The sequence below is a fragment of the Homo sapiens genome, chromosome 12, assembly GCF_000001405.40.
Source record: "Homo sapiens chromosome 12, GRCh38.p14 Primary Assembly".
NCBI lineage: Eukaryota > Metazoa > Chordata > Mammalia > Primates > Hominidae > Homo > Homo sapiens.
In genome coordinates, this window is record NC_000012.12 from 106,118,925 (window position 1) to 106,144,675 (window position 25,751).

At 47.3% G+C, this 25,751-nt stretch overlaps 1 protein-coding gene and 1 long non-coding RNA gene across 2 annotated transcripts in view, besides 8 other annotated features; one reads left to right on the plus strand and one right to left on the minus strand.

The window, feature by feature from the left end:
• The window catches only part of NUAK1 (NUAK family kinase 1), a 75,610-nt gene extending 55,580 nt beyond the window's left edge, over positions 1 to 20,030 (minus strand). Inside the window, exon 1 of the mRNA NM_014840.3 lies at positions 19,490 to 20,030. Coding sequence (NP_055655.1) covers positions 19,490 to 19,729 — 240 coding nt within the window. The 5' untranslated portion in view covers positions 19,730 to 20,030. The remainder of the gene's footprint in view (positions 1 to 19,489) is intronic.
• LOC124903007 (uncharacterized) lies at positions 4,794 to 5,806 on the plus strand. The gene is made up of 2 exons (XR_007063442.1): positions 4,794 to 4,983; positions 5,589 to 5,806. It is a non-coding gene; the product is annotated as an uncharacterized LOC124903007 (long non-coding RNA).
• Positions 10,991 to 11,740: an enhancer, noted in NCBI's record as "H3K27ac-H3K4me1 hESC enhancer chr12:106523693-106524442 (GRCh37/hg19 assembly coordinates)". NCBI's record gives its function as "activates a minimal SCP1, AML or CMV promoter by ChIP-STARR-seq in primed H9 embryonic stem cells {active_cell/tissue: H9 hESC(primed)}" and the evidence as "EXISTENCE:reporter gene assay evidence [ECO:0000049][PMID:30033119]".
• Positions 11,741 to 12,490: an enhancer, noted in NCBI's record as "H3K27ac-H3K4me1 hESC enhancer chr12:106524443-106525192 (GRCh37/hg19 assembly coordinates)". NCBI's record gives its function as "activates a minimal SCP1, AML or CMV promoter by ChIP-STARR-seq in primed H9 embryonic stem cells {active_cell/tissue: H9 hESC(primed)}" and the evidence as "EXISTENCE:reporter gene assay evidence [ECO:0000049][PMID:30033119]".
• Positions 12,707 to 13,001: a silencer, noted in NCBI's record as "tiled region #11062; HepG2 Repressive DNase matched - State 8:EnhW, and K562 Repressive non-DNase unmatched - State 22:ReprW". NCBI's record gives its function as "represses a minimal TATA promoter and a strong SV40 promoter by Sharpr-MPRA in HepG2 and K562 cells {active_cell/tissue: HepG2 | K562}" and the evidence as "EXISTENCE:reporter gene assay evidence [ECO:0000049][PMID:27701403]".
• Positions 13,512 to 14,354: an enhancer, noted in NCBI's record as "OCT4-NANOG-H3K27ac hESC enhancer chr12:106526214-106527056 (GRCh37/hg19 assembly coordinates)". NCBI's record gives its function as "activates a minimal SCP1, AML or CMV promoter by ChIP-STARR-seq in primed H9 embryonic stem cells {active_cell/tissue: H9 hESC(primed)}" and the evidence as "EXISTENCE:reporter gene assay evidence [ECO:0000049][PMID:30033119]".
• Positions 14,355 to 15,198: an enhancer, noted in NCBI's record as "OCT4-NANOG-H3K27ac-H3K4me1 hESC enhancer chr12:106527057-106527900 (GRCh37/hg19 assembly coordinates)". NCBI's record gives its function as "activates a minimal SCP1, AML or CMV promoter by ChIP-STARR-seq in primed H9 embryonic stem cells {active_cell/tissue: H9 hESC(primed)}" and the evidence as "EXISTENCE:reporter gene assay evidence [ECO:0000049][PMID:30033119]".
• Positions 15,199 to 16,041: an enhancer, noted in NCBI's record as "H3K27ac-H3K4me1 hESC enhancer chr12:106527901-106528743 (GRCh37/hg19 assembly coordinates)". NCBI's record gives its function as "activates a minimal SCP1, AML or CMV promoter by ChIP-STARR-seq in primed H9 embryonic stem cells {active_cell/tissue: H9 hESC(primed)}" and the evidence as "EXISTENCE:reporter gene assay evidence [ECO:0000049][PMID:30033119]".
• Positions 18,459 to 18,960: an enhancer, noted in NCBI's record as "H3K27ac hESC enhancer chr12:106531161-106531662 (GRCh37/hg19 assembly coordinates)". NCBI's record gives its function as "activates a minimal SCP1, AML or CMV promoter by ChIP-STARR-seq in primed H9 embryonic stem cells {active_cell/tissue: H9 hESC(primed)}" and the evidence as "EXISTENCE:reporter gene assay evidence [ECO:0000049][PMID:30033119]".
• Positions 21,352 to 21,971: an enhancer, noted in NCBI's record as "H3K27ac hESC enhancer chr12:106534054-106534673 (GRCh37/hg19 assembly coordinates)". NCBI's record gives its function as "activates a minimal SCP1, AML or CMV promoter by ChIP-STARR-seq in primed H9 embryonic stem cells {active_cell/tissue: H9 hESC(primed)}" and the evidence as "EXISTENCE:reporter gene assay evidence [ECO:0000049][PMID:30033119]".

A 25,751-nucleotide genomic window follows, 5' to 3' on the forward strand; every position in this document is an offset into this window, starting at 1 on the left:
CTCCTTGCATCTTTAAGCAGGTCATAAAATGTAAGCTATGTAAGGATAATAATGCAAGTTGCTTTCAAGTGTATTTCTGAGTCCATCTCAGTATTAATCTAAGACTGATGTTCCAACAGAGACTGGGTCTGGCATGCTAATAAGGGGACTAAATTCTACTTCTTACTCCCTCAAAAAAGAAATCTAAAAATCTGTCACTTGAGCAACATAGATGACTGAGATAAAGGTAGGTTTTTCCTGGTTTTAATTATCCAAATATAGCAATAGCTTCTTTATGCCAAAACCACTATCTCTTAACCTGTAGTGTAAAACACAGGTAAGAGGTAGCAAAATAGAAAATACACTTGACCTTGAGTCAAGAGACCCAGCTCAGCCACATCCTAACTGAGTGACCCCGACCAGCCCTATTTACTCCAAGGTGGCTCATCCTGTTACCCAGAAAACACGACTTCATGCTTGGAGCGCCATTCAGCCCTGAAGACTTTGGGGAATGGAAATAAGCCCTTAGAAATGCCACTCAAAGAAATGCCATGGATTCCATGCACGGCGCCCCTGCAGATCGTCACCCATAGTTTTCCTACTAACACAATTACGAGGAAAGCTTACTCACAGAAAATCTGTAGGGAAGCTGGAAAAATGGAACTAGAAAGCTGCTAGACACAGCCTCACTGACAGAAGCAAGACATGACAACTCACTTTCCCCTTAATCTTTAACTTTTCTGTATCTGGCGAGTTTTCAGTATTGAGCATGCACTATTTTCGCTAAGGGAAAAGAAGAATTTTATTTTTTAAAAAGGTCACAAAGAGGAATGAAAGTTAATAAGGGAGATGACAGACACAAACTATAAATAGCAGACATGAGAACTCCAAAACACAGTACAGAGGACCATTGAGGAGAATTTTCTCAAACTCATCAAGAAAAAGTTTTCACTACCTTCAAGGAACTTTGTTTTAAGAAGGCAAGAAAGTGTGCATCCCGATGAGAAAGATTTCCTGAAGAAATGCCTACAATGTTTAAGAGGATTGGCTCTTAAATGGGTGAGCTTCAATTATCTGGAAAAAAATATATTTAGAGCTCTCTATTATAACTTATTAGTATTTCCACTTAACCAAAGCATCCGATTAACCAGCGTTCTCCATTCCCTTGACTGAGGCTCATGGCAGGCTGAACACTAGGGGCTGTTGGGCTACTCTCTGCTTTTCCCACACCGGTCCACACAATGAGCCAACTACCCACCCTCATCTCAGCCAAGTCTACCACTTCCAATATCGCAGTCTCTACAGACCATGGCCTCCAACAGGACCAGAAACTTACAGCACCACTGCAACTGGCCCTTTGCTAAGGATAAGAAGTCCAATTTCAGACTTAGATTTGCCCTCATCATTGCCAAGAAAAGGCAAAGTGATGTGAGACGGCATAGAGAAAATGCCCAATATTGTGCCCAACATCCAGTATATGCTCCAAAAATGCTGGCTGTTCTTATCATTTTTATTATTATAATAATAACGAACAGACGTTATGCAGAGGCGTGTGCAAATACAAACACCACAATGAGAACTTCAAAATCTGAGACTCAGAGGACGATGTCGGGGGCAAAGTGAGAAGGGGGCTGGGAGAAAAGGAGCAGCTGTCGCCTCTTCTGAGAAGCCATCTCAGGTCACCCCACTAACAGAAGTCCCTCCAAATGTACTTCTGTAGTCCCCAGGGAATTGATTTCGCAGGATGGAATTATTTCCCTGAAATAAACAGACAGTCAAAGGTCACTACAACTGGGGCCTAAAAAGCAAACAAGCCAGCTGCTGATTTACAGGCAGCCTATGACGCAAGATAGCAAGAGGTCTCGGCCCAGGTCCAGTGCAATGGCTTCGGACACACCGGTCCCACAGGGGCGAGGATGGAGGAGGGGGCTCACCTTCCTGTAAGCAAGGTCCCATCTTGACCAGGCATGGATGGGGCCACCTTCAGGAGAGCAGACCCTTGAACTTCTGCTGTCAGCATGCTCTAGCCAGTGGCTCTCAGCCCTAGCAGTGCATTACAGTGACCTACGGGTCTGTTTAAAAATACTGATACCTGAGTTCCTTCCCCAGGCAGCCTCCTTTAGTTAGCCTGGGGTAAAGTCCAGACATCAGTGTTTTGAAAAGATCCCAGGTGATTCTCATGCTCAGCCAGGCCTGAGAACTAGCCACATAGCGGAAAGAACCCACAGCGGGGTCAGGCAGACCCGAGCTTTTAACTCCAATGCTCTCTTGCTTTCTTGAGCAGATCAGCCCTTCTGTCTGAGCATCGGTTTCTTTAACCCTAAAGTGAGGACGATCATCACTCCCCGTCACAGAGTTGCTGTGAAGACGGTACAAGATAATGTATGTAAACTGCATCACTTAGTGTATCTTGCAGAAGGCACACACAAGGTGGTTTCTAAATGTTAACCCCTCCTCATTTCACGCTTCTCTTTTCAAGGTTCTCCCACGTGGGTCAGGAGTTCGAAGCAGCTCTCAGTTCTAAGGGGTCTCCTGTCTTTCTAAGTGGTTAAAAAAGGGTGGGAGGCTGGGCGTGGTAGCCCACACCTGTAATCCCAGCACTTTGGGAGGCCAAGGCCAGCAGATCACTTGAGGCCAAGCATTCAAGACCACCCTGGCCAACAAGGCAAAACCCCATCTCTACTAAAAATACAAAAATTAGCTGGGCATGGTGGCGGGTGCCTGCAATCCCAGCTACTTGGGTGGCTGAGGCACTGGAAGCACTTGAACTCAGGAGGCAGAGGTTACAGTGTGCCGAGACTGTGCCACCACATTCCAGCCTGGGGTACAGAGCGAGACCCTGTCTCGGGAAAAAAAAAGGTGGGGGGGTGTGGGGAGGGAGGAACATCCCTCCTGAAAAGCAGGTATGAACAAGAGTGCTGACAGAACGGGTTGGTGGATCCCTACACACACAAAACACACACACATGCACACACCCCTACTGGGTGAAACAGCAAAACTATGTAAAAACTGAGTCACAAGTAGCAAAAGTGAGGAAAACCCAATCTTAAAGATTTTCTTTGCTTTTCTCATCTAGAAGAAAACCTATCTTGTGTGCGACACTTTCTCAGAAACTCTTTGCCTGTGCCTCTGTCTCCTCCATTAGACCAAGTGCAAGTCTTATGCCTGGGTGTACTACACAGGGCTGGTGCACAGTAGGCCCAAGGGAATGTCCATTGAACAGTTAAGCTCCTTGGGGGCAGGGGTGGATATTTGTAGACCAACAGTGCTCATAACATCCACACGTGGTAATCCCCTAAACAGGCATTTCATAAGTATACTGGAACTTTGATTCCAAGCAACTAGCAGAAAAGGATAAAAAGGCACACTGGGCATTCAGGAGGCAGCTGCCCCAAGTCCAGTGGCCATGAGCGGCAGTATCACAGCAGTTCAGGATTTTCAGATCTTACAAGGAGTGTAAACATGGGCAAGTGACTTAGTTTTCTGTGCCTGTTTATCCGCCTGAAAAATGGGGATGATAATGGTGTTCACCTCTTAGGGTTACCATGGGGATGAATTCAGGTCAGTGACTGACATGCTTAGACTATCGCCTGGCATGTAATTGCTGCTATGTAATTGTTTGCCATTATTATTACTCCATGATTGGATAACAAGAAAAGAAACCTCAAGTTTCAGGCCCAAATAGGAGCCCTCCATTTATCACAAGAGAAGGTATAGACGAGAGAAAATGGTGTGGTGTATCCCCAAATGAATACAGCAACTAGCTTCCCATTGTCCAGAGCTGTGTTCTCAAAATAAAGACCATGGACTTCCCCCATCACATTCACTTGAGTTGCTTGGTTAAAATGCAGAAGATACTCGGGTGTCCCCAAGTCCCACTCCAACCCTGTTGAATCAGAATCAGACTCTCTGAGGTCAGTGCCAAGGATGGTATATTTTAACAGGTGCACCTAGGAGATTCCCACATCCCTGAAAATTTAAGAGCCACTGGACTGAATAAGCTCCTCACCCAGAGGATCTGTTTGTTTGCTCATCACTATATACCCAGAGCCTCGCATAACGCCCAACCTGTAGTCCATGCTCGACAAATATCAGATGAATCCATTACATGGTTTCACCTCTAGAAGTATTTGTTCCATTTGTTTGAAGACTCACTATGTGTTAGGCTCATGCAAAGCAATGCTGATTCAGGCAATTTCATTCATTCTGAAAATCGTTACTGGGTGCTTAGTGCATACCAGGAACTGTTCTAGACACCGGAGATACAAAAAATGTGATGAACGAGGTTGCTCAGAGACATAATACTTTATAGATCATAATGTGTGCTATGGAGCTAATAAAGCAAGGTAAGGGGCCAAGTGTGTGCCATGTCCTCATTCAACCTAGTGTCTAGAGCAGCACTAGTCCTGCCCAGCAGAACTTTCTATGATAGTGGAAATGATCTATTCTGCAACATCCCATGATAGCCACTAGCCACATGGGGCTACTGGGCACTTGAAATGTGGCTGGTGCCACCGAGGGACTGAATGTTTTATTTAATTATAATTAATTTTAACTTTAATAGCCATATGTGCCCATATTAGACAGTGCAGGTCGAGAGGCAAAGAGGCAGATATGTGAGCTGGAAATTACAACAAAAGGCAACATGAGCTATGAGGAGGGGAAGACAGAGCACCATGTGCTATATCAAATGCCTCTCACCCAATTACCAGATGCCCTAATGTTCTCTGGCTCTGGGAATTGAAAGAACAAGGTCAGGTACGAGGCATTGTGCTTGGGCTGGAATTTTTATAGCCCATGATCAGTTGAAAATGGTATGCAGCCCGGCCAAGCCCCAGAGACTGCAGCTCAGGATCACACCACCATCTGCAAAGCCAGGCCACAGCTGCCAAAGAGATCTCTTTCCTCCCCGTCATTCTGCTGATGGTCATTTTGTCCTTGGCTACAACGTCCCACTGGGCCCGAGACACTGCAAGGATTTTATGAGATTTCTTTGCTTCAAGCGTAAGTACGAGTACAAGCCTCCTAAATTCCACCGGAAAATTGGTGGCTAATCCAAACATTTCATAAAATTAGAACTCATTGTGGGGCTGAATGGAATTCAGACTGTGCCGCCACCAGAGAAATGCAAAATATTCGTTATAATTTTTTCCTTCATGAGCTGTTTTAAGAAGCAAGTGCTTTTTCTGCTTGAAGCAAAGGGGTTGGGGGAAAGGAAGAGTTTTTGTTTTTGTTTTGTTTTCTCTGCGGTTTGCAAAAAGCATCACCAGATGAAAAAGTAAGGAATCCTGCCTGATTCCCTAATCCCTCAACTAGCAGGAATAATAATAAACCATCCCAATCTCAACTGTTCTTGCCTTTATAAAGACAGTATTTTTCCTGGAAAATGGGATTTTTTCCTGGAAAATTTGATTTTTGCTCCTTAATTTTTTCTTAGGCTTCAGCCCTAGAATTTTTATATCCTGGGATCTCATTAGCAGAGGAGATATTGCAATCATTCATGCATGCATGCACATCAGCAATATTAACTTGCCAAGCACTGTTCTAGGCACTTGGGGTACATCAGTAGGCAAAACTGATGAAAACCCCTGCCCTGGCTTGCCTTTTAGTAGGGGAAGGCAAACAGAAGAGAATTCAGCAACTGCCACTTTGAAACAATTTTGGGGCAAGACATGAAGATTCACAAAATGCAGTTTCTAGAAGCGGCTGGAATGTAAGCTGCAAGGAAGGGAGCAGAAACGTCATCTGTCTCACCATGGCTGTCTCCCTACCATCCAGAGTGGTATCTCACACAGAAAATGCAATCAATAAATATCTGTTAAATGGCCAGGTGTGGTGGCTCATGACTGTAACCCCAGCACTACAGGAGGCTGAGGCAGGTGGATCGCCTGAGGTTAGGAGTTTGAGACCAGCCTGTGCCCCGTCTCTACTAAAAATACAAAAATCAGCTAGGCATGGTGGTGCACACCTGTAGTCCCAGCTACTCGGGAGGTTGAGGCAGGAGAATCACTTGAACCCGGGAGGTGGAGGTTGCAATGAGCCGAGATCACGCCACTGCACTCCAGCCTGGGCGACAGAGCCAGACTCCATCTCAATAAATAAATAAATAAATAAATAAATAAATAAATAAATATCTGTTGAATGGATAATAAATTTTAAAACAAAAATCTGGCCCAGAGCGCTCATCTTACAGATAAGTTAGCTGAAGCCATGGAGGGGCATGTCTTGCCCAAGGTCACACAGCTTAAGTTGTGGCAGTGATGGAACCAGCAGCCAAGTCTCCCAACATACCTAGACTCATAACACTCCACAGCCATTTGACAAATATTTCTTGCATTCTGACTGTGTGCCAGGCACTGAACTAGGCACTGGGAGCATATAAATGAGTAAGACATAGAACGACTGGGATCATGAAATTAAGTTCTTCATATTGCTATTTTCCCAAGCACGGAGGCAACTTCTCTGTGCTTTAAGTCCGGCTCCAACAGTGGTTGTAATCATGAACCCTGAAGTCAGACGGTCCAGCCCTACATCCTGTGATCCTGGCTCTGTGACTTTGGGCAAGTCATTGGACTTCCTCTAAGCCTCTGCCTCCTCATCTATGAAATGAATGTGATAATAATACAGGTTCAAAGGCGAAAAAGCACGTAAATAGTTAGAATAGTGCCTGGCACACACTGATCACTCAATGATTCCTGCTATGAGGGTTGTTAAGGGAAAAATGCTCCCTCTGCTCTGGACCTTCCTACACAACCAAATAAGTGGAGATTTCCACTTCATTTTTCTCCTCTCCAGGATCTCTACTACCTGCTTCACGCCCACACACTCATTCATTTCCTCCCTCAGTGTTCCATTTGGTCCTGCCTGAAAAACAGATACCCACTAACCATGAGGATGATGAAAAATGAGGTTCTTCCCAGAGCAGCAAGCACATCACTGCCCTGTCTTTCCAGGCAAACACGTTCACGGCTGGGCTTTGAGCTCACCAGAGACACAGACCATTAGTCTCCCCCCTGCATGCCTTCTGCTAATGGAAGAAAGAGTTCACTATCAAATCTACTAAGAATCACACAAGGTAATTATCTTGCCTCAAGGACCACTGAGAGCTTCTAAGGTTTGCTGGCATCTGTCTTAATTGATACTGAGAAAGCCAAGGCTGCCTAACGGATGTGTTTGATAGAAAGTAATAAAATTCTGAGAGATTAAAGAAGAAAAATAAATACAACAAGAAATCAGTCTCCTTAAAAGGACCAGCAAGGAGGGATAAATGTGGACCACAAAGACTGAAGATCTTCAAATGTCAGGGTTAGATGCACATTCTAGAATCAAGAGGTGGGTGAACTCAACGGGGCAATATCTTACTCCCTGTTGCCTCCCCCAGTGCCTAGCACAGTGCTATTTGAATAAATATTTTTAAACCAGCTACCTGGGAGAGGCAGAAGGGAACACCTGCCACAAGAAAAAATGACAGAGATATTTCTACTCTTTCTTGGGAAGCAGTCTAGGCTCATAATTTCGAGCTCAGACAGACATGGGTTGTATTCCTGCCATCATCCCCAAGTTACAAACAGTGGGGCCCTGGGCCTCAGTTACCTCTGGGCAAAGTCAGGTGACAGCATCTATCTCATAGAATGGTTCTAAGAATTCAGTGAGATGACACAGGCAAATTACTCAGCACAGAGCCTGGCAAAGTGCTCAGTAAAGGTTAGCTTTATTTGTTCATCTTCAAGGATGAAATAGTAGTAAACATATGAGTCAATTCTTCCCTCTAAGTGAGACTGCAAAAACAGCCCTTCCCCTGGGGACAGGGCTCTCTTAAGTCTTTTCCTCATCCCTGGAATCTTGCCTCTAGCCTACCTGTCATCCAGGATCAAGAAGCCAAGCTCTCCTGGGTGCTCAATGTGCCCAATCACTGCTAAAGCCTTGGGAAGAATAAGTGGTGTCCACAGGGAGATCCTGAGAGCAGAGGCAGCCAGGAGCCTCTGGCCTCACTGGGACCAAAAGCAAAGCCCCTTTAAAGTCTAAGCATCTAAGGAATGAGCAAAGATTCCTCTGAGCTGCCCAGCAGAACATGAGCTTACCCTCCTCTGAATCACAAATAATAACAAATAACACTGCTTGACAAGTGGCTTCATGTCAGGCACTGTTCTCAGAGTGTGTGTGGTCCATGAGTCCTTGTGACAACCTAGGAGTTAAGTTCTATTACCAACCCATTTTACAGATGAGAAAACTGAGAGGTTCTTTGAGGATGAGCATTTTCTTTTTATTTTCTTTTATTTGAGACAAGTTCTTGCTCTGTTGCCCAGGCTGGAGTGCAGTGGTGTGATCGTAGATCACTGTGGCCTCCAACTCCTGGGCTCAAGCAATCCTCCCATCTTGGCCCCCCAAGTAGCCAGGACTACAGACGCAGGCCACTATGCCCAGCTAACTTTTCAATTTTTTTGTAGAGATGAGGGAGTCTCACTGTGTTGACCAGGCTGATCTAGAGCTCCTGGCCTCAAGTGATCCCCCTGCCTCCCAAAGTGTAGGATTACAGGCAGAAGCAACCACACCCAGCATGGGTGAACATTTTCTGTCTCACATAGAGTCTAGTTCAGAAGCCACCTCATACACGTGTTTCAGAAAGCCTTGGCTGCCTTGAGCTGAATAGAATGTATTTGCATCCCACAGAACCAGAGAGCAGGGAAGGCGAGCAGACCTCCCTAAACATAGGCTGACAGTCTACACAGGGAGACTCTCCGTACACTTGCAAAGTGTGTATGAGAATTGAAGATACTTCCTGCTTTCCCCAGCAAGGAGCCCTTCTGCCAAAAAACAAGCAATAGGAAATGCAGCCTTTCAGTGAATCCTAGGATTCTCTTCCTACGAGCTGGAAGGGACCCTTAAGGACATTTTTGTCTCAGGCCCTCAATTTACAAGTGAAGCAAGTGTGCTCGACACAGCAGCACCTACTGTGTGCAATGCCCCGTGCCCAGGCTGCTGCAGGGACAGACAGGACCAAGACCCCATCCTGCCTTTCCAAAGAGGCCTCCTTCCAAAACTTAGATTTATGGACCATTCACTGTGGGCGACACACTTTTCTAAGAACTCGACATACAATTTGTTAACACTGCAACTCCCATTTCACAGACGAAGAAACCGAGTCACAGTTGATTATCTCAAGGTTACATTGGAGGTTCATGTTCTTTCAAACCCAGGAAGCCTAGCTCCAAATTCTCTCTTTTCTTTTTCTTTTTTTTTTTTTTTGACACAGAGACTCGTTCTGTTGCCTAGGCTGGAGTGCAATTGTGCAATCTTCTCTCACTGCAACCTCCGCCTCCCGGGTTCAAGCGATTCTCCTGCCTCAGCCTACTGAGTAGTTGGGATTACTGGTGTGCGCCACTGTGCCCAGCCAATTTTGTATTTTTAGTAGAGACAGGGTTTTGCCATGTTGTTCAGGCTGGTCTTGAACTCCTAACCTCAAATAATCCACCCACCTCGGCCTCTCAAAGTGCTGGGATTTACAGGAATGAGCCACCACTCCCGCTTCCCTTTTTGATGTATAGATTGGACGGTCCACTTCCCTTCCATGATCCTGTAGAAGACTGGGACATGAGTGACCTCTGGCAGTTGGGGTGAACCACTCGTGAGCTGAGCCCAGTTCATAGTGAAATGGCAGCAGCCAGCAAGGCTTCGTTTGAACCTGCTGCAATCAAGCACCTTTGTGGCCCGTGAGCCTGACACAGACAAAAGTGAATGGGGTCCCGCTGGAGATAACTAAGAGAAGCAGCTGCTACCTTTTTTAAACAGGGAAATTGCCCTTCAGCCAAACAGACGAAAGTTGAGCCCTAAGCCACTCACCATTCCCCGCCCTTCCAGGGAAGGAGCTAACACCTACCACAGCCTCCACTTAGCGCCTTCCCCCTGGAGATCTCCATATCTCTAATAAAAGTAAGGGAAGTGGAATTCTTTTCTCAAATTTAAAAGGCAAATCATGATGGTGTTTTTTCAAGACATACATTAACTCCGCACCCCAGCCGGTTTGCAATACTTAAAGTACTTGATTTACAACCCAGAAAAAAATGTTTTGAAAACCTTGCAGATGCATTTTGCATCTAAACCTTGCACACTCTGCAGAGCTGATTACCTGGGCTTCTCAGATGGAGGGCTGGACTCTGAACGAAGCCAGGCCAGTGTGAGAGCAGCCTGAGGAGGCTGCTGAGCTCTGAAAAACTACCCGCCTGGAGCAGCCTCCAAGAGTGGGAAATGGGTTTGGGATGGGCTTGAGCCACCTCTCCAGCTGCTGTCACTGAGAAGCACCTGGCAATGCTGTGCATACAATGCTAAGGGGAAGCGTGACCCAGAGAAGGAGGAGGATGGAGCCCCAGGGCCTTCCCTGCTGACTCCCGCCTTCACAGACCTCTCCCTTCTCAGGATTGCTGGTGCTTCTTCCCGCAATTGTTCATTCAATCATTCATTCATTCTTACTGAGCACCCACTAGATGCCTAGCACTGGGCTACAGGCTGGGCTGCAGTGACGAGTGAGACAGACAGCAGCCCTGCTGCCTTTCTAATAGACAAGGAAGAATGGAGCCTACAAATAGTCCAACACACACTCTCCATGTGCTCACAAGGACACGAGACACGGGGCTGAAACAAAGAAGTAAGGAAGTGGTGGTCTGAAGACCCATGCATGAGCCTTGAAGGACATGGTAAATTCAGACTTTGGGTCCCATGCAACCATGGGAGGATTTTAAGCATGGAGAGCCATGAGCCAAGATAAGAAGGTCACTGGGTACTCCACCCTAGTACTTCTCCCTGAAACAGTAATATTACCTCTAGTTTTCAAGAGCCTACTATGCACCAGGCTCTGTGCTGGAAGCTTCCAAATCCTATTTCTGATGGCAATCTCACTTGGTAGGATATTTTGCACTTGGTAGGATACTTCATAGCTGCATTTTCCAGATGAGTAAACAGAAGCCAGAGAAAATGAGCAGCTTGCCTGGGACCATCTAGCTCCTGGGTAGCAGGACAGAATTTGAACCCAAGTCTGTCTGATTCGACAGCTGGGATTTCTTCCTCCACACCTCATTCCTTTTTTTTTTCTCTCTCTCTGTGAGACGGAGTCTGCCTCCGTCACCCAGACTGGAGTGCAGTGGCGCGATCCTGACTCACTGCAACCTCCGCCTCACAGGTTCAAGCGATTCTCCTGCCTCAGCCTCCCGAGTAGCTGGGATTACAGGCATGCGCCACCACGCCTGGCTAATTTTTGTACTTTTAGTAGAGACGGGGTTTCACCATGTTGGCCAGGCTGGTCTCAAACTCCCAACCTCCGGTGATCCACCCACTTCGGCCTCCCCAAGTCCTGGGACTGCAGGCGTGAACCACCGTGCCCAGCCTCGACACCTCATTTCTATACTCAGATTATTGCATTGTTCTCAGATTATTCCAGATGTCTGAATCTAATAGCCCCAACTAAATTCTAGGTATCTCAATGGCAGGACTTGTAATATCCTCCTCTGAAAGTCCCTATGGTGCTGGACACATTGTTAAGCACACATTAAATACATCTATCTGGTTTATTGCTAGATTGAAAAGAAGAGCAGGTGTGTTGAGCCCCAATGTGGGGATGTTAGGTCTTTCTTATGGGGAAGCTTCAGCCACAGAGTATTGACAAGTGGTAGCTAAGAGGAAGAAGAAAGCAAGCTACCACCAGGGCTGCCAAGCAGGGATGTGCAGATCATACATGCACAAGGCACCAGCCGATGGGCAGGTGAATGGGCCCCAGCCCGCGTCGTTCTCACAGAGCCGCTAGTAGGAGAGGGGCTGCTTCTGGCCAGGACAGAAGCCTTTTCATATGTATCCACCTGGAGGAGGCCTTTTTTTAATTTGCACAAAGGTGCCTTGTAGAGTAGCAATCGCCCTGGCTGCATCTATTGTGTACCTACTGTGTGCCAGGCACCAGGCAAAAGGCTTAGCTATGTCACCTCGGTGCTTCCTCTCAACAATCCATAAAAGAAGAACTATTGTGAGCCCTAGCAAAGAACCCAGAGGTTAAAAATTAGTCACTAGCCCAAGGTCACACAGCTCTCAAGGGGTGGGCTGGCATACAGACACAGGCAGCCTGGCCCTGGGGCTCTCTATGTTGACCATGGTTGGCAGGAGATTGTCTTCGCTTCTTTCACAAAATGAGCATGAGATTTCTGTGGAACCAGAGGTTGGAATCTTAGAGGCCTGAGAGATAGAGGCTTCCACCCCTTTCCCACTCTCCACCCTGAGCCCCCCCCTTTTTAAGTTATTACCAGCTTTATTGAGATGTAATTCACATATCATATAATTCACCCATTTAAAGTGCACAATTCAGGGGTTTTTAGTATATTCGGAGGGGTGCAACCATCATCACAATTTTAGAACATTTTCAGCACCCCCCAGAAAACTCCACACCCATTAGCAGCTACTCCCAATTTACTCCCAACCCCACCCGCAGGCCCACTCATCTACGCTGTCTCTATGGATTTGTCTCTTGTGGACATTACATACAAATGGAATCATACAATCTGTGGTCTTTTGTGTCTGGCTTCTTTCACTGAACATAATGTTTTCAAGGTTCATCCATGCTGTCACATGTATTAAGTACCTCATTCCTTTTTACTGTTGAATAACAGTCCAAAAATATTCCATAAATAAAATTATGGAATAGATCATAAGTAATATTCCACAAATGAAATGGATGTGCCAGCTTTTATTTACCCATTCATCAGTTCCTTCCACTTTGGGGCTCTTACTAATAATAATGCTCTATAGACATTTGTGTAGAAGTTTCTGTGTGGACATATGTTTGCATTTCTCCTGGGTAAACCTAGAAGTGGAAATGCCCAGCCCTGGTTTTCACATGCAGTTAAAAGTTTACCGAAGAGTTTCGCTGTAAAGCCAACATCTGGCTGCTCCTGGGCTGTTTCCAGGGAATTTTATCAATTCAGCCAGACTCCATTCACGGTGGGTCATCAGGCCCAGCCCCTCCTACTCTGAGGCCTGGGATCCTCTCATTCCTGTGCTCTACAATGTCGTCTGGGCCAGCACGATGATAAATGCATTCTGCTTTAAAGCAGATACTTCACAAATCATAACTTACAGATGCTCCAGGACTTTCATGTGGGAAAGACAAATGAGACTTCTGCTGTCTGACTCTGGAGCCACTGAGGACAAGAAGCCACGGCCAGAAACCTGACAAACCCTGGATATACGTCTCTCCCTAACAAATGCATGTGCAAACGTAACAGAAGGGGAATTCGTGCAGAAAAGGGTCTGCCTGTCTTTTCAGACATTGCTCTGTAACCTGCCATTCATTTTCAACCGTTGTCTTTCCTTCCCCACAAATCTAAAGTTCCTTGAGGTCAGGAAAGATAACGTACAACTTCGACACCTCCCAAGATATTCTCTCGCTCAATGTATTCACTTCAGTTCCATCCTACAAGCCTCTGTTGAGGACCTACTATGTGCTTGGCACCATGTGAGGCATTGACAATAAGTATCTTTGCAGGATGGATTCAAGACACACAGGACACAGCGACAGACAAGATACCTTGACTCAAACCCTTATCTCCTGCTGCTTCCCAGGAGGAAGCAAGATCAACACACACTGGCATGGTGTGGGGGCATTTTTGTCTGCAGGCAGGGAAGTGAACCAGCTTACCCCTCAAAGCCCCCTAGGGACTCCAGGGTCTGAGGCTGCTTGGGAAACAAAGGACTCTGTATGTGTCCAGGTGAAGAGCTCCCTGACCTGATTCATTACAACAAACTCCTCGAGGTCCAACAAACAGACCAACAAACAGATGGCTCACCAGAAGCAGGCACATCTCTTCTCCCTAACTTGGCTCTGATTCTTATCTTCCCAACCTCAACTCTTGCAAAAACTCCCTGCTCCAAGCCAGCACACCAAACTGACGGGCTCAACACCCCACTGTGATCAGAACCCAGCTCAGACCCCTCTAGAGGAAGAGTTAAGGTCAAGGTCTCTGCATTCACATTGCCTGGGTCCAAACCTGGCTCTGCTGCTGCCTGTGACCTTGAGCAAGCTAGTTAACCTCTCTGTGAGTCAGGTTCTTCATCTAGAAAATGGGATGATAGCAGAATTGTTATAAGGATTAAATCAGTTAACATGCACCTAGCATGTTATAAGCACTCAAGAAGTATTAGTTGCTATTATTTGCATTAGCATCAATTATTATTATTACCCCCATCTTACCTTACCAATCCTGCCCTCCCATTGTGTCCCAGCACAAACCCTGCATTCCAAGCCACCTGGAATATTCACCTTCCCCCAAACACAAGTGAATGAATGCCTTGGAATGCCCCACATTCCAATCCTCTGAAACCCAAATCAAGGGTCATTTTCAACAGCACTTGTCCTCCCATTAGCTGGAGAACACTTTCTAATCCCACAGTATACCCTGGCCCCTCCTCTAGATACCCTTCCGGAAGGGTGGGCGATCACCCCATGGCTGCTCTTCTGGCACCATTAGCAAAGAACCACACCCAAATCCAGAGGTCACCAGCTGTGCAACATTAAGGAAGGTTCTCAATTCCTCTAGCAGCATTGGGTTTCCAAACAAACTCCATCCAAACAAACAAACACCATCCAGCTGTCTGACCCTTGGCAAGTTACCTAACCTCCCTATGTGTCATTTTCCCCATCTGTAAAATGGGTCTCACTATTTTACACCTCACAGGGTTGCTGTGAAAGTTAAGTGAGGGAAAATGTCTCTAAAGCACTTAGCACAGTGGGATGCACCACAAGCTCTCAAAAATATCAGCTGGTAGTAAATAATGGTAGCAGTAGAAATATGATTCTGTCCAGGATCAAACTCACTTTCATGAGCTAAGCTTCAATGAACTGTTGTCCAACTTGAAAATCACCTGAAACAATCCTCTATGGAAGAGTTACTCATGCCTAGTAACTACTTCTGCCTTCTCTTTCACCAGGCTGGAAGCTCCCTGGGTCTTACTCATTTCTATGTCTCAGCATTTAACATGGTGAGTAGCACATGGCAGATGGCAATAAATCTTCATCGAACTGAACAGAATTAGTTTGCAAGTACATTTCACCTTTGCTACTAGATTATAAGTTCTTTAAGAGTGAGGCCCATGTCTTTCTCTAGTAAAGATTTATTAAATGAGTGATGGAAAAATACCAAACCAAGAATCGGGTTTCTAAGATCCAGCTCCGTCATTCAAGACCTGTGCAACCTCAACAAAGTCACTTAACACTTCTGCGCCTTACTGGTCCCACCTCGAAGATGACAAGTTTGAACCACATGTTTGCCATGGTCCCTTACACTCTAAAACTGTATTTGGGCCTTAGCTGCAACATGGCACTTCTGCCACCGTGCATGTGACGTCAACACACCTCCTGGCTTGGCAGGCCAGTTTGCTAATTTGCCTCCCTGATTTGCAGTTTTCCAGCAGGAGGCTATGAATAGCTTTGGGTGCTTAAAACACCCATTTTTGGTCAAAACACTTGGCTTGCTAGGTGAGGATGCCCCATCACCCAAGCTAATGCTCTAGTGGCCAGGGGCACCAGGGCAGACTGTGGGGGAGGGGCACACATTGCCCACCAGTCCTGCCACTCCCATCCCAGACTCCCCCCCAGGGACCCTGCCTCCAGCTCACACCACACCACCTACTGCTCACTAGAGATAACCTGGTACAGTGAGGAAGTTGAACTTGGCCCCTTGACATCGAGGTGATCACAGGACATAAAATTGTGTGGCTTTGGTTTTGGGATTTTTGGCAACGCTTTGTGTGGCCTGTAGGTCCAGGGAGCTTAGCTCAAAGAAAATGCATGCCGAATTATGACACAGAGGCTCACCCAGTAGGCCTGCCCAAAACTGTATCAAAACCAAAGTTGTGCAATAAACAAGGCCCAAATTCAAGACTTGAGAAATGTGTTCAGATCCTATCTGAATCTGGCTAATTATCTCATCTTCCTATGGACACACCTCCCTAATTAATTTGGTATTTATTTTATTACTCTGAAAAGTTGATTATTTCTTCTATCTCTCTCTGCATGATACAATGCATTGTCTCTCTGATGGTCTTAAAATCTAATGAAATCCTAAAATGAGATGAGAAAAAAAATCTGCTAAAAGGAGGAACTAAATTGATTAATGTCCCCTTTTGAGGTTTTATATAGATCACTGTATTCAGTTCTCACAAGTCTATGAAGTTGGTACTCTTAGTAGCTCATTTTACCGATGAAGAAGCTGAGGTTTCAAAAAGTCACATAGCTTGCCAAAAGACACAAAGCTAGTAGGGGATAGATCAAGGATTTGAATGTAAGCCAGGGCTCTTTGCCTTTCTGCAAGAGTGCCTCATTTTTGAGCTTGTTCATCTCTGGAACAAGCCACTCTGAGTCCTGGTCTCACGGACATGCTTTAGCAGAGGCTGCAAGACTGCAGGAGAGTGCCTGGACGACACACAGGGTCGCACCAGCTGACTCCAAGCATCTCATTCTGCACTTCTCTTCAGAACTGCCTTTCGCGGCACATAGAAAATGATGCTGTGTTGTGTTTTGTTTTATTCAGAAGGTCCTTCCAGGTATGCAATTAAAAACCATCACATCCTCATTTTTTAGAAACTTCTCTCCTCTCTGAGAAGAACCCCTGCTTTCAACAGGGATGTTGATTTCACAGCATTTCATACAACCCCATACTCGGCACCTGTCTTGGGCCACTCACATTAGTAAAACACGTTAGAACCACTGCTCCTCTTGAGAGATGCTGTAAAAGGCACTGGTGCAAATGAAAATAAAACATCACTTCAAAATTCTACCCAAAGATCAAAAGGCTAAATTAAGATAGTGCCCTTTCAGTTCTCCTCAACTGCACCTTCAAAGCATGTTGTGAATGTTTAGCACATCGCTGGTACCAGAAGAAAACTCCAAGTTCATATTTTAGATGAAAATGTCTTACTGCTCTTAACAGGTTCTGAGTCACCAGGCACTGTATGGGCAAGAACAACTCGTTGACCAATTTTTTGTTTGTTTGGTGTTATTTTCTGTTCAGCCAGTCACAGGAAATTTTCCACTTGACAATTCCTGTTTCTCACTAAAGTTCTTAACACCATCTGTGAGCAGTGTGCTCAGCAGGGGGAGGACGGGGGGCCAAGGAGGACTTTCCTTCCCCAAACCTCAGTTTTCCCATCTGTTTTATGCAAGGTTTTTACCCAGGGATCTGGCTAACATTCTGTAAGCTCAGCTATCAAGGAGAAAGCAGCCCCATGAATAAACGAAGCATTTTAGAGACTGTCAGTTTCTGGGCGTGGGTCTGCTGCCAGATTTAAAATCTTTACATAATTTTGGGGTAAAACAAGAGATTTAGCTGAAATTAATAGCACAATGGGAAAATGAACTAGGGCTGAACAATAACACAGCGGGACTTCAGATTTGCGGCTGGTAAAGAAGCCTCTCTCGTTCTCAGGGCGCCCCCTCGTGGCCGCTTGACTAAATCCTGACGGAATGTTCAGTTTCTGCAAATACAGAGAAAGACATCCCCCAAAAGAGAAAGGCGGACTCCTGCCTACTGATGCAAATCCCTTTCACTCTAACCTAGTCTGTGGATCAGACAGCTCAAGAACGCCTGACAGGAAGTCCCACTGACGCTCAGAAAGGCGTCTGCCATAAGACAAGGGTTCGTTCGTTAGAAAGGTCTGAGGTAGTGCCCCAGCATTTAGACTTTGGGGTCCCTTCACAGACCCTAGACACACCCTTACCACTTCAACAACCCCTCATAGCCTCACATTCTCAACCTGCAGCTCGAACTGCGTCTGTTTTTCATTATTCTGCTTCCCACCTTCCCAGTGCGATTCTTCAGCAGCTATTAAGACAACATGAGCAGGGATCTAAGCTTAGTTTTTGCTTATTCAACATCCAGCCTGGGGAATATCACCTCAGAAGAAAAGCATGAATGAAGTGCACGTTTCCCAGCCTCTTCTTCCACAAACCTGAAATTGCCTTCATCAGAGGCCACCCTTACAACCCTCCCCTTTAACAATTTCATCCTACGAAAATGGCACCTGCCCAGAGTGAATTCTCAACTACTTGCTTGCTGTAGAATTTATTACAGAGCCAGCTTTAAAAAGAAATGTACGCCATCTCAAATTTCCAATTAATTGATAACAGATTTTTTTTTAAAATAACGTTATGGGACGAAGTTATATAGACCCAAACATCAAATCTGAGAAATGGGTTGGGAGGGCGTTATCCGGGTATCCAGATATTTGAGAATTTGGGGACTGAACTTTGCTGACTGGCACCCCCATGTTTTTTTCACAGAACTGTTCCTGCCGAAATGCAAAAGAAACATGTCAATACTAAGCTGCTATTTTATTTGACAGCTCATTTTCCTTTTTCCCTGCAGTCATTTGTTGTTTATAAGCAAACCTGAGCCTCCAAAACACCCCCAAAAGTGCACACAAGGAGTCCCATAATCAGTTTCTGACTTTGGCCCTAAATCGATTAGAATACATCTGATCTGCTTCAAATCAAAGAACCATGTTAATTTTCTGCCACACACCACACAAAATCTTTCTGCAACAGTCAGTCACTTTGAACCCAACTCTCTAGCCACAAGCAGTGTGGATTTCAAGGGCCTGTTCTGCAGAAGTGAAAATAACAACAAACCAAGGCTGGGACAAGGCAGACAGACCCCAAGGCACTCAAAGCACTCCTTGGAGCTGTGCAAATGGTGCCAGGACCCTGGCAGGGTGTCAGCTGTCACAAGAGCAGCGGGGCCAGACCCCTTCAGCGGTTTGGTAGCCCTGCAACCAGGAGCTGAAACACAACTGAGCCTGCTGCAACTAAGCACAGCTATCTCTGTAGCTACCCATGCCCTGGACATTTCGGTCCTCCCAAAGCCATGATGCAAACTGTTAGAATCCTCAGGCTTGCAGTAGTCTTTATTTTTGCTCCCTAACCTTGTCTCAAAAACAGGCAAGAGTCGCCCTCCCTTGCAGTCACAGCAGTATCAGGGCGATGCAGAGTCTGAGTGGGAGGATGCAGAGCAAGGAGCTGCGGGCAGATGGGTGGAAGGGGGTAGGGACACCTACAAAACACCGGACTTGAGGGGCTAGCTCCTAGCTGGGAATGTGGTTCTTTGGAGAGTTGTGGAAATAAGACGTTTCGGGGCATGGTCTAAATGAGTGCCTGCGAGGGAGAGAGACCCCGGCCGTCCCAACGCTGCAAAGTGTTTGCAAATCTAAAACATTCCTTTGCTGCTAGGATTAAATTTTTAAAAACAAACCAAAAAATAAAATAAAATATGTGCAGACAGGATGTAACAAGTGTTTCAGGACAGAGACACGCCTGAGTCACGGGGTGCTGGAGAAAGAGTGAGGAGTCTGTCTCGGGGCTTCCCAATGAGCCCCCTCTCTGTCAAGAGAGCCCCAGGGCGCACAGACCCCCGCCTCGCACGCCCTCAGTCCCCGGCCGCGTCCACCCAGCGCCCCCCGCACCCTCCAGGATTGCCCCACTCACCACTCGGCCAGAAAACCTCTCGGTGGCCCGCTTGACTTTGCCGTAGGTGCCTTTGCCCAGGGTCTCCTGCAGCTCGTAGCGGTGCTTCAAGTTGTGCTTGTGGTGATGCCGCTTCACCCCGTGCGGCTTCCTGGGCTCCAGGGCTGCAGTCGCCCCCGCCACCGCCTCTCGGGGAGAGCCCGGCGCCCCCAGCCCCAAGTCGGGGCGGTCCCCCGCCACAGGCGCGGCGGCCCCTTCCATGTCCAAGCGCGGGGCGAGCCGGGCTACAGAGGGCAAGACCGGGCACAGCGCTGGGATGTCGGGGTCCCCACCGAGGGAAGCCGCTGTACGCTCAAGGTCGCCCCCGCAGCATCAGGGAGGCGGCCCGATACCGCTCGGACTGCGGCTCGGTCACTGGCGGCGGCGGGGACTGCACATCTGGCGCCCGCGGCGCGCACGGTCCGCGCACCGCCCCCCGGCCGCGGCGAGCTGTGGAGCGTCGGGCGAGGTGGCGGCGGTGGCAGGGGAGGCGGTGGTGTTTGCAGGAGGGAGGGGAGAGGGTGGCTCGCAGCGCAGGAGGGGGAGTGTTATGTGGGGCGCCGCGCCCCCCAACCCCTCCCCGGGAGGACGCGCAGACGGGGCGGGGGCGGCGCTCGCGCGGCCCCAGGGGAGGGGGAGCGAGGGGCGGTGCAGCCAGGGCTTCCCCCACCTCCCTGCAGCCACCCGGGGCCGGGGCCGCCGTGAGCTGGGAGGGGGATGGGAGCGTGTCGCGACTCGCCCTTTGTGCGGCGCGGCGTAGGCCACGGCGGCGGCGGCGGCGGCGGCCAGGAGTGCTTTGTCCTCGCTGGGCCGGAAGGGACCGGGAAATTCCAAGCCGGGCGCCCCCTCCCCGGGCGCTCTCGGGCTCGCCAGTCGCAGCTACCGCGGGCCCTCCGCCGCCTCGGGCTCCGGGGCCGGTCGCTCGGCCTGGATTCCTGCTGGCGCCGGGGCGGCGGTTGCGGCTGGCCGAGCCCCGGGGCCGGGGAAGAAAGAGCGCCGCGAGCCGGGGGCCGCCGGGACCTGCTCGCGATACGGCCGGGGCCGCCGCGGGCCTGGGCGCCCCTTCATTTTCTTGTAGGTGTCGCCGCAGCCTGGCGGCCGGAGCTGGGGGAGGGGGCAGGGAGGCCTGGTGTTCGGTTACAGGCGGTGACTCACGGACCTTGCCCGCCCGAGGCTGGCACCCCGCGGGGCAGAGCTGCGCCCGCCTGGGGCAACTCCGAGTCCAGGAGAACCCCAAGAGCGGCGCTTTGGCCCCGGCCCCCGCGCCCTCTCCGAAGAAAGGAGAGTCAGGGACGGAGGGAGGCCGGGAGGCTGAACCCCGGGCCCGCCGTCGAACCGCCGGCCCTCCGACACCATCTGGACCCCGGCGGGGACAGCCGCCTGGAAGGGGAGGAAGGCCAGGGACGTGGAAGAGATGGGGCTCTAAAGGCGCCGGGACGGAGCTGGCTCCCCAGAGGCGCCCACCCTGCCAGCGAAGGCCGCCATCGGAGGTGGGCAAACCAGGGACCTGGGGTGGACCAGGACCCCGGGCCTGCTGAGCAACCCGTTTGCTGAGCAGGAGGCGATTTGCAGGCCTCTTGCCTCCTTAGGCCTTGGGAGATTTCCTTTCACTGAAAGGGCCAGATCCTGGCGATGGTGACAGGAACGGTACCCCGCACGGTAAGGGTCAGGCAGGAAGGGCCTCCCACCGCGGCGTGGCTGCCGCCGTTCTAAGAAGAGACCATGAAAAATAAGGAAGAAGGCTAGAGAAAAAGAGGTCTTAGGGAAATTTTTTTTTTTAACAAGTGGTGCAATGTACCAGACTAGGGTGGGAAGAGTGAAGGCTGAAGAAGGTCTGGTGTTCTGCAGATCGCATGGCGGTTCTTTTCCACCAGTGGACCTCACTGGGGCCTCCTCTGCAGCTCTCAGGTGCAGCCCTTCCTCTACATTCCCGCCGCCTTCATTCCTGTCTACCCCTGGTCACCTTACCCCGGACTCCAGCAACAGCCCGCTCTCCCCAACCCTCCCCGGGAGCCTCCTCACTGCTGCCAGAGTAATGGCCTGAAACACTGCCCTCATCCTCCACACGTGTCTCTGCTGTACTCTGACGCGTGATATTCTTACCTGTCCAAACTTTCCTTCTACTGATATTTCACACAAACTTCCCTGCCCCTTCTTCCCTTCCCCAGGAGCAATGACAGAACACAGACACAAAGGCGCATCATGCCTATTCAATTCCTATTCTGTCCACCGCATTTGCAGGGCCTCCCTGCCACCCACCCCCATCCTGAAACTGTTCTGCTTCTATACAGTTTGTGGACGTTGTGCCTATAGATCCCACAGTCAGGATGAGTGGCATGCAGGTTGAGTCCTGGCTTCCCAGAGGATTGGCTGTGTGGCCTTGGTCAAATGACATAACCTCTCAGAGCTTCGGTTTTCTCTTAAGATATGGATTTAGCAGATCTATTGTAGAGATAAACACATTGTGTCTACAGTAGTATTTTAAAATATTTTCTACTTCTTCCCCTCCCCTGCGATGTGGTAGAAATCCACTACCCCATCCTCTTGAAGTTAGATGAGACCATCGGACTTGCTTAGGCCAATGGAATGAGAGCAGAAGTGATTGTGTTGCTTTCACTTGGAACCTTTAGGAGCCAGTGAGCAAATCCCCATGTCTTCTTTTTCCTATCTTGACAATCATGGTGGTACAAAGTTGGAGCCTCCCCAAGCCAGCCTGAGTCTCTGTGTAAAGATGGCAGAAAATCCCAGCCAATCTGCATTGGAAAAGTAGTGTCAGCAAATATTAAACTTTATTTATGTTAAGTCAGTGGGATTTGTTAAAGCAGCATAACCTGGCTTATTCTGGCTGATAGTGTTACTCCCAGATATGTGGGACTTCATCAGTATCTATTGAATCAACAGCATCATCTACCATAGGCTGGTACTGTTTTATGACAGTAAACCCTCCTCTGTAAAGTAGCTGTTTACAATCCCTATTTTCAATTGAAGAAACCGTATCAGAAAGGTTAAGTAATTTCCCAGAGGTTACACAGTTTGTAAATGGCAGGACCAGGATTTAAACCCTACCTGTCCAGTTCCAAAGCTCCCCCTTCTCCTTTCATATATGCCATGCTCCGTCTCCTTAAATGGGAAGGATGAAAAACACCCAGTACAATGCCTAGCACACAGTCATGCCCAGGCACTGGGAGTTCCTCTCCAGACTGAATTCCTACCACGTTTATAATTGGAACCACACTTCAGCACAATGCTATCAGGCATTGTGTGTGAATGTTTTCACATCGATAAAGCATTTTCTCCAACAAGAGCCCAGGCTCCTTGATTAAGAGCTTCAGATCTAGAGGCAGAGTGACTAGGTTCAAATCCCTGTTCCACCTCTTATGATCATCTTGGATAATTGTTTTCCCCCTCTATGCCTCAGTTCTCTAATCTGCAAAGTGGCGATGGTAACTTTCATGTGCGTCTGTGTGAAGAGACCACCAAACAGGCTTTGTGTGAGCAATAAAGCTTTTAATCACCTGGGTGCAGGCGGGCTGAGTCCAAAAAGAGAGTCAGCAAAGGGAGATAGGGGTGGGGCCGTTTTATAAGATTTGGGTAGGTAAAGGAAAATTACAGTCAAAGAAAGGGGGGTTGTTCTCTGGCGGGCAGGGGTGGGGGTCGTGAGGTGCTCAGTGGGGGAGCTTTTTGAGCCAGGATGAGCCAGGAAGAGCCAGGAAAAGGACTTTCACAAGGTAATGTCATCACTTAAGGCAAGGGCCGGCCATTTTCACTTCTTTTGTGGTGGAATGTCATCAGTTAAGGCAGGGCAGGGCATTTTCACTTCTTTTCTGATTCTTCAGTTACTTCAGGCCATCTGGGCGTATACGTGCAAGTCACAGGGGATGCGATGGCTTGGCTTGGGCACAGAGGCCTGACAGTAACAATGTATGTGGTATTAGCAATTACGCCAATAACACATCCCACAGGGTTGGTATGAGGATTAAGGGCTAGACTATATCCACTCAATAAATCGTGGATATTAATACGATACTTTTCATCTTCCATAGCTCCTACTAGAATTTGGAGCCTTTTTTTTTTTGCGATGGAATTTCACTCTTGTCACCCAGGCTGGAGTGCAATGGCACGATCTTGGCTCACTGCAACCTCCGCCTCCCTAGTTCAAGCAATTCCCCTGCCTCAGCCTCCCAAGTACCTGGAATTACAGGCATGTGCCACCACGCCCAGCTAATTTTTTTGTATTTTCAATAGAGACGAGGTTTCACCATGTCGGTCAGGCTGGTCTCAAACTCCTGACCACAGGTGACCCACCTGCCTAGGCCTCCCAAAGTGCTGGGATTACAGGAATGAGCCACCGTGCCTGGCCTGGGGCAATTTTAAGCAGTTTAATCATACTGCTTGGTTAGACTCTGATTTCTGGTTTTGTTCTTGGATACAGGACAGATGTAGTAACATTGGCACTTGAAAGTGTGACATCCACACTATCCTACATCTTTTATTTACATAAGGCTCATTACTGGTCCTTCACTGCACTTTCTATTTTCAAAGCAATTTAAAAGAAAGAAGGTATGTTCGCTTTCTCAAGAAATCGTTGTTCAGGAATCCTGTCATTCAGGCAGCATAGATGAGCTTGGAGGACATTATGTTGAGTGAAATAAGCCAGGCACAGCAAGACAAATACCACATGTTCTCACTCATATGTGGAAGCTAAAAAAGTTAATCTCATTGAAGTAGAGAGTAGAATTGTGGTTACTAGAGGTTGGGGGAGGGGACAGGGATAGCCAAAGGTTGGTTAGCGAGCACAAAATTACAACTAGATAAGACAAATAAGTGCTCATCTTTGATAGCACTGCAGGGTGACTATAATTAATAATTTAATTGGGAGGATACAATAAATTAGTAATTTATATTGTGTATTTAAGAACATACAGTAGAATATTATATTGTATATATTCATTATTGATTGTATATATTTATTTATTGTATGTTTATAATTTATTGTATATAAATTATATACAATATATTGTCTATATTAATAATTTATTTTATATATTCAGATAGCTAGAAGAGCAGATTTTGAATGTTCCCAACACAACAAAATGATATATGTTTGCTATGTGAATAACCCTGATTTGATCATTACACGTTGTATGCATGTATCGAAATATCACACTGTGCCCCATAAATATGTACAATGATGTGTCAGTTAAAAATAAAAGAAAAAAAAGAAACATTTGTTCAGAAAACATAGTAGTAGCAGTCATTATTTATTTACTACCTACTACATTATTTATTTACTACCTAGGACCCCTACATATGCATATCGCCCTGCTAATCATCGTAAAACTGCAAGGTGGGTGTTATGTTGCCCATTTTGCTACTGAGAAATCTGAGTCTCAAAGAGGCTAAGTTGCCTGTGATCAAACAGTAACTGCAGTCAGGATTTGAACGCGAGCCTCCGACTCTAAGGCTTTGCTCCAACCCCTATCCCGAGCTCATGTCAATTAATGCCTGTGCTTTGGCTGATAACTGTTCTTACACTTTGCTAGATGAAGTTTTGAAAAGTTACCTAAGACTGTGATGTTTCTAACTTAAACATGTGGTCTGGTGGACAATTTACTTTAAATAGCAAGCTAAATAAGTGCTTAGTCTTCACTGTAGTGGAAGGAAGATAATTGCAACCAAAAATTCATGCTGCTTCATCCATAGAGCTGACAGACGGCTGCTCAGCCAGGGACAATGCCCAGCCTCCCATACATCGAAGTGTGGCCATGAGACTAGGTCTCTCTAATGGAACATGAGCAAAAGTGATGTTTTTTGCTTCCAATCCAGGGTGTTTAAAAAGTGGGTGTGCCTTCTCCGCATTGCCTAGCTGGAAACAGAGGACTTGGAGGCCCTAAGTGGATGGTGAAGCCATAAGATAAAAGAAACTTGGGCCACTACTTCACCTTAAGAAATAAAGTCATTCTCTGACCAGGACATTGGACTGGTGCATCAGTGAATAATAAACTTAACTGTATTGTGTTAAGCCCGTGCAATTTGAGGGTTTATGTCATGACAGCTAGTACTACCCTAACTAATACATACGGTTTACACCAAATCTGTATGTACACAGAAAAAGCAAAATGGAAGATTATAACAAGTACCTGAATAGTTGAAACCCAAAATGACATTTTTATTTTCTCTCTGTTTATTCAAGGAGATACCAGATTATTTAGGGTCTTGAGTTTTTCTTTTATTTTTCCTGCAT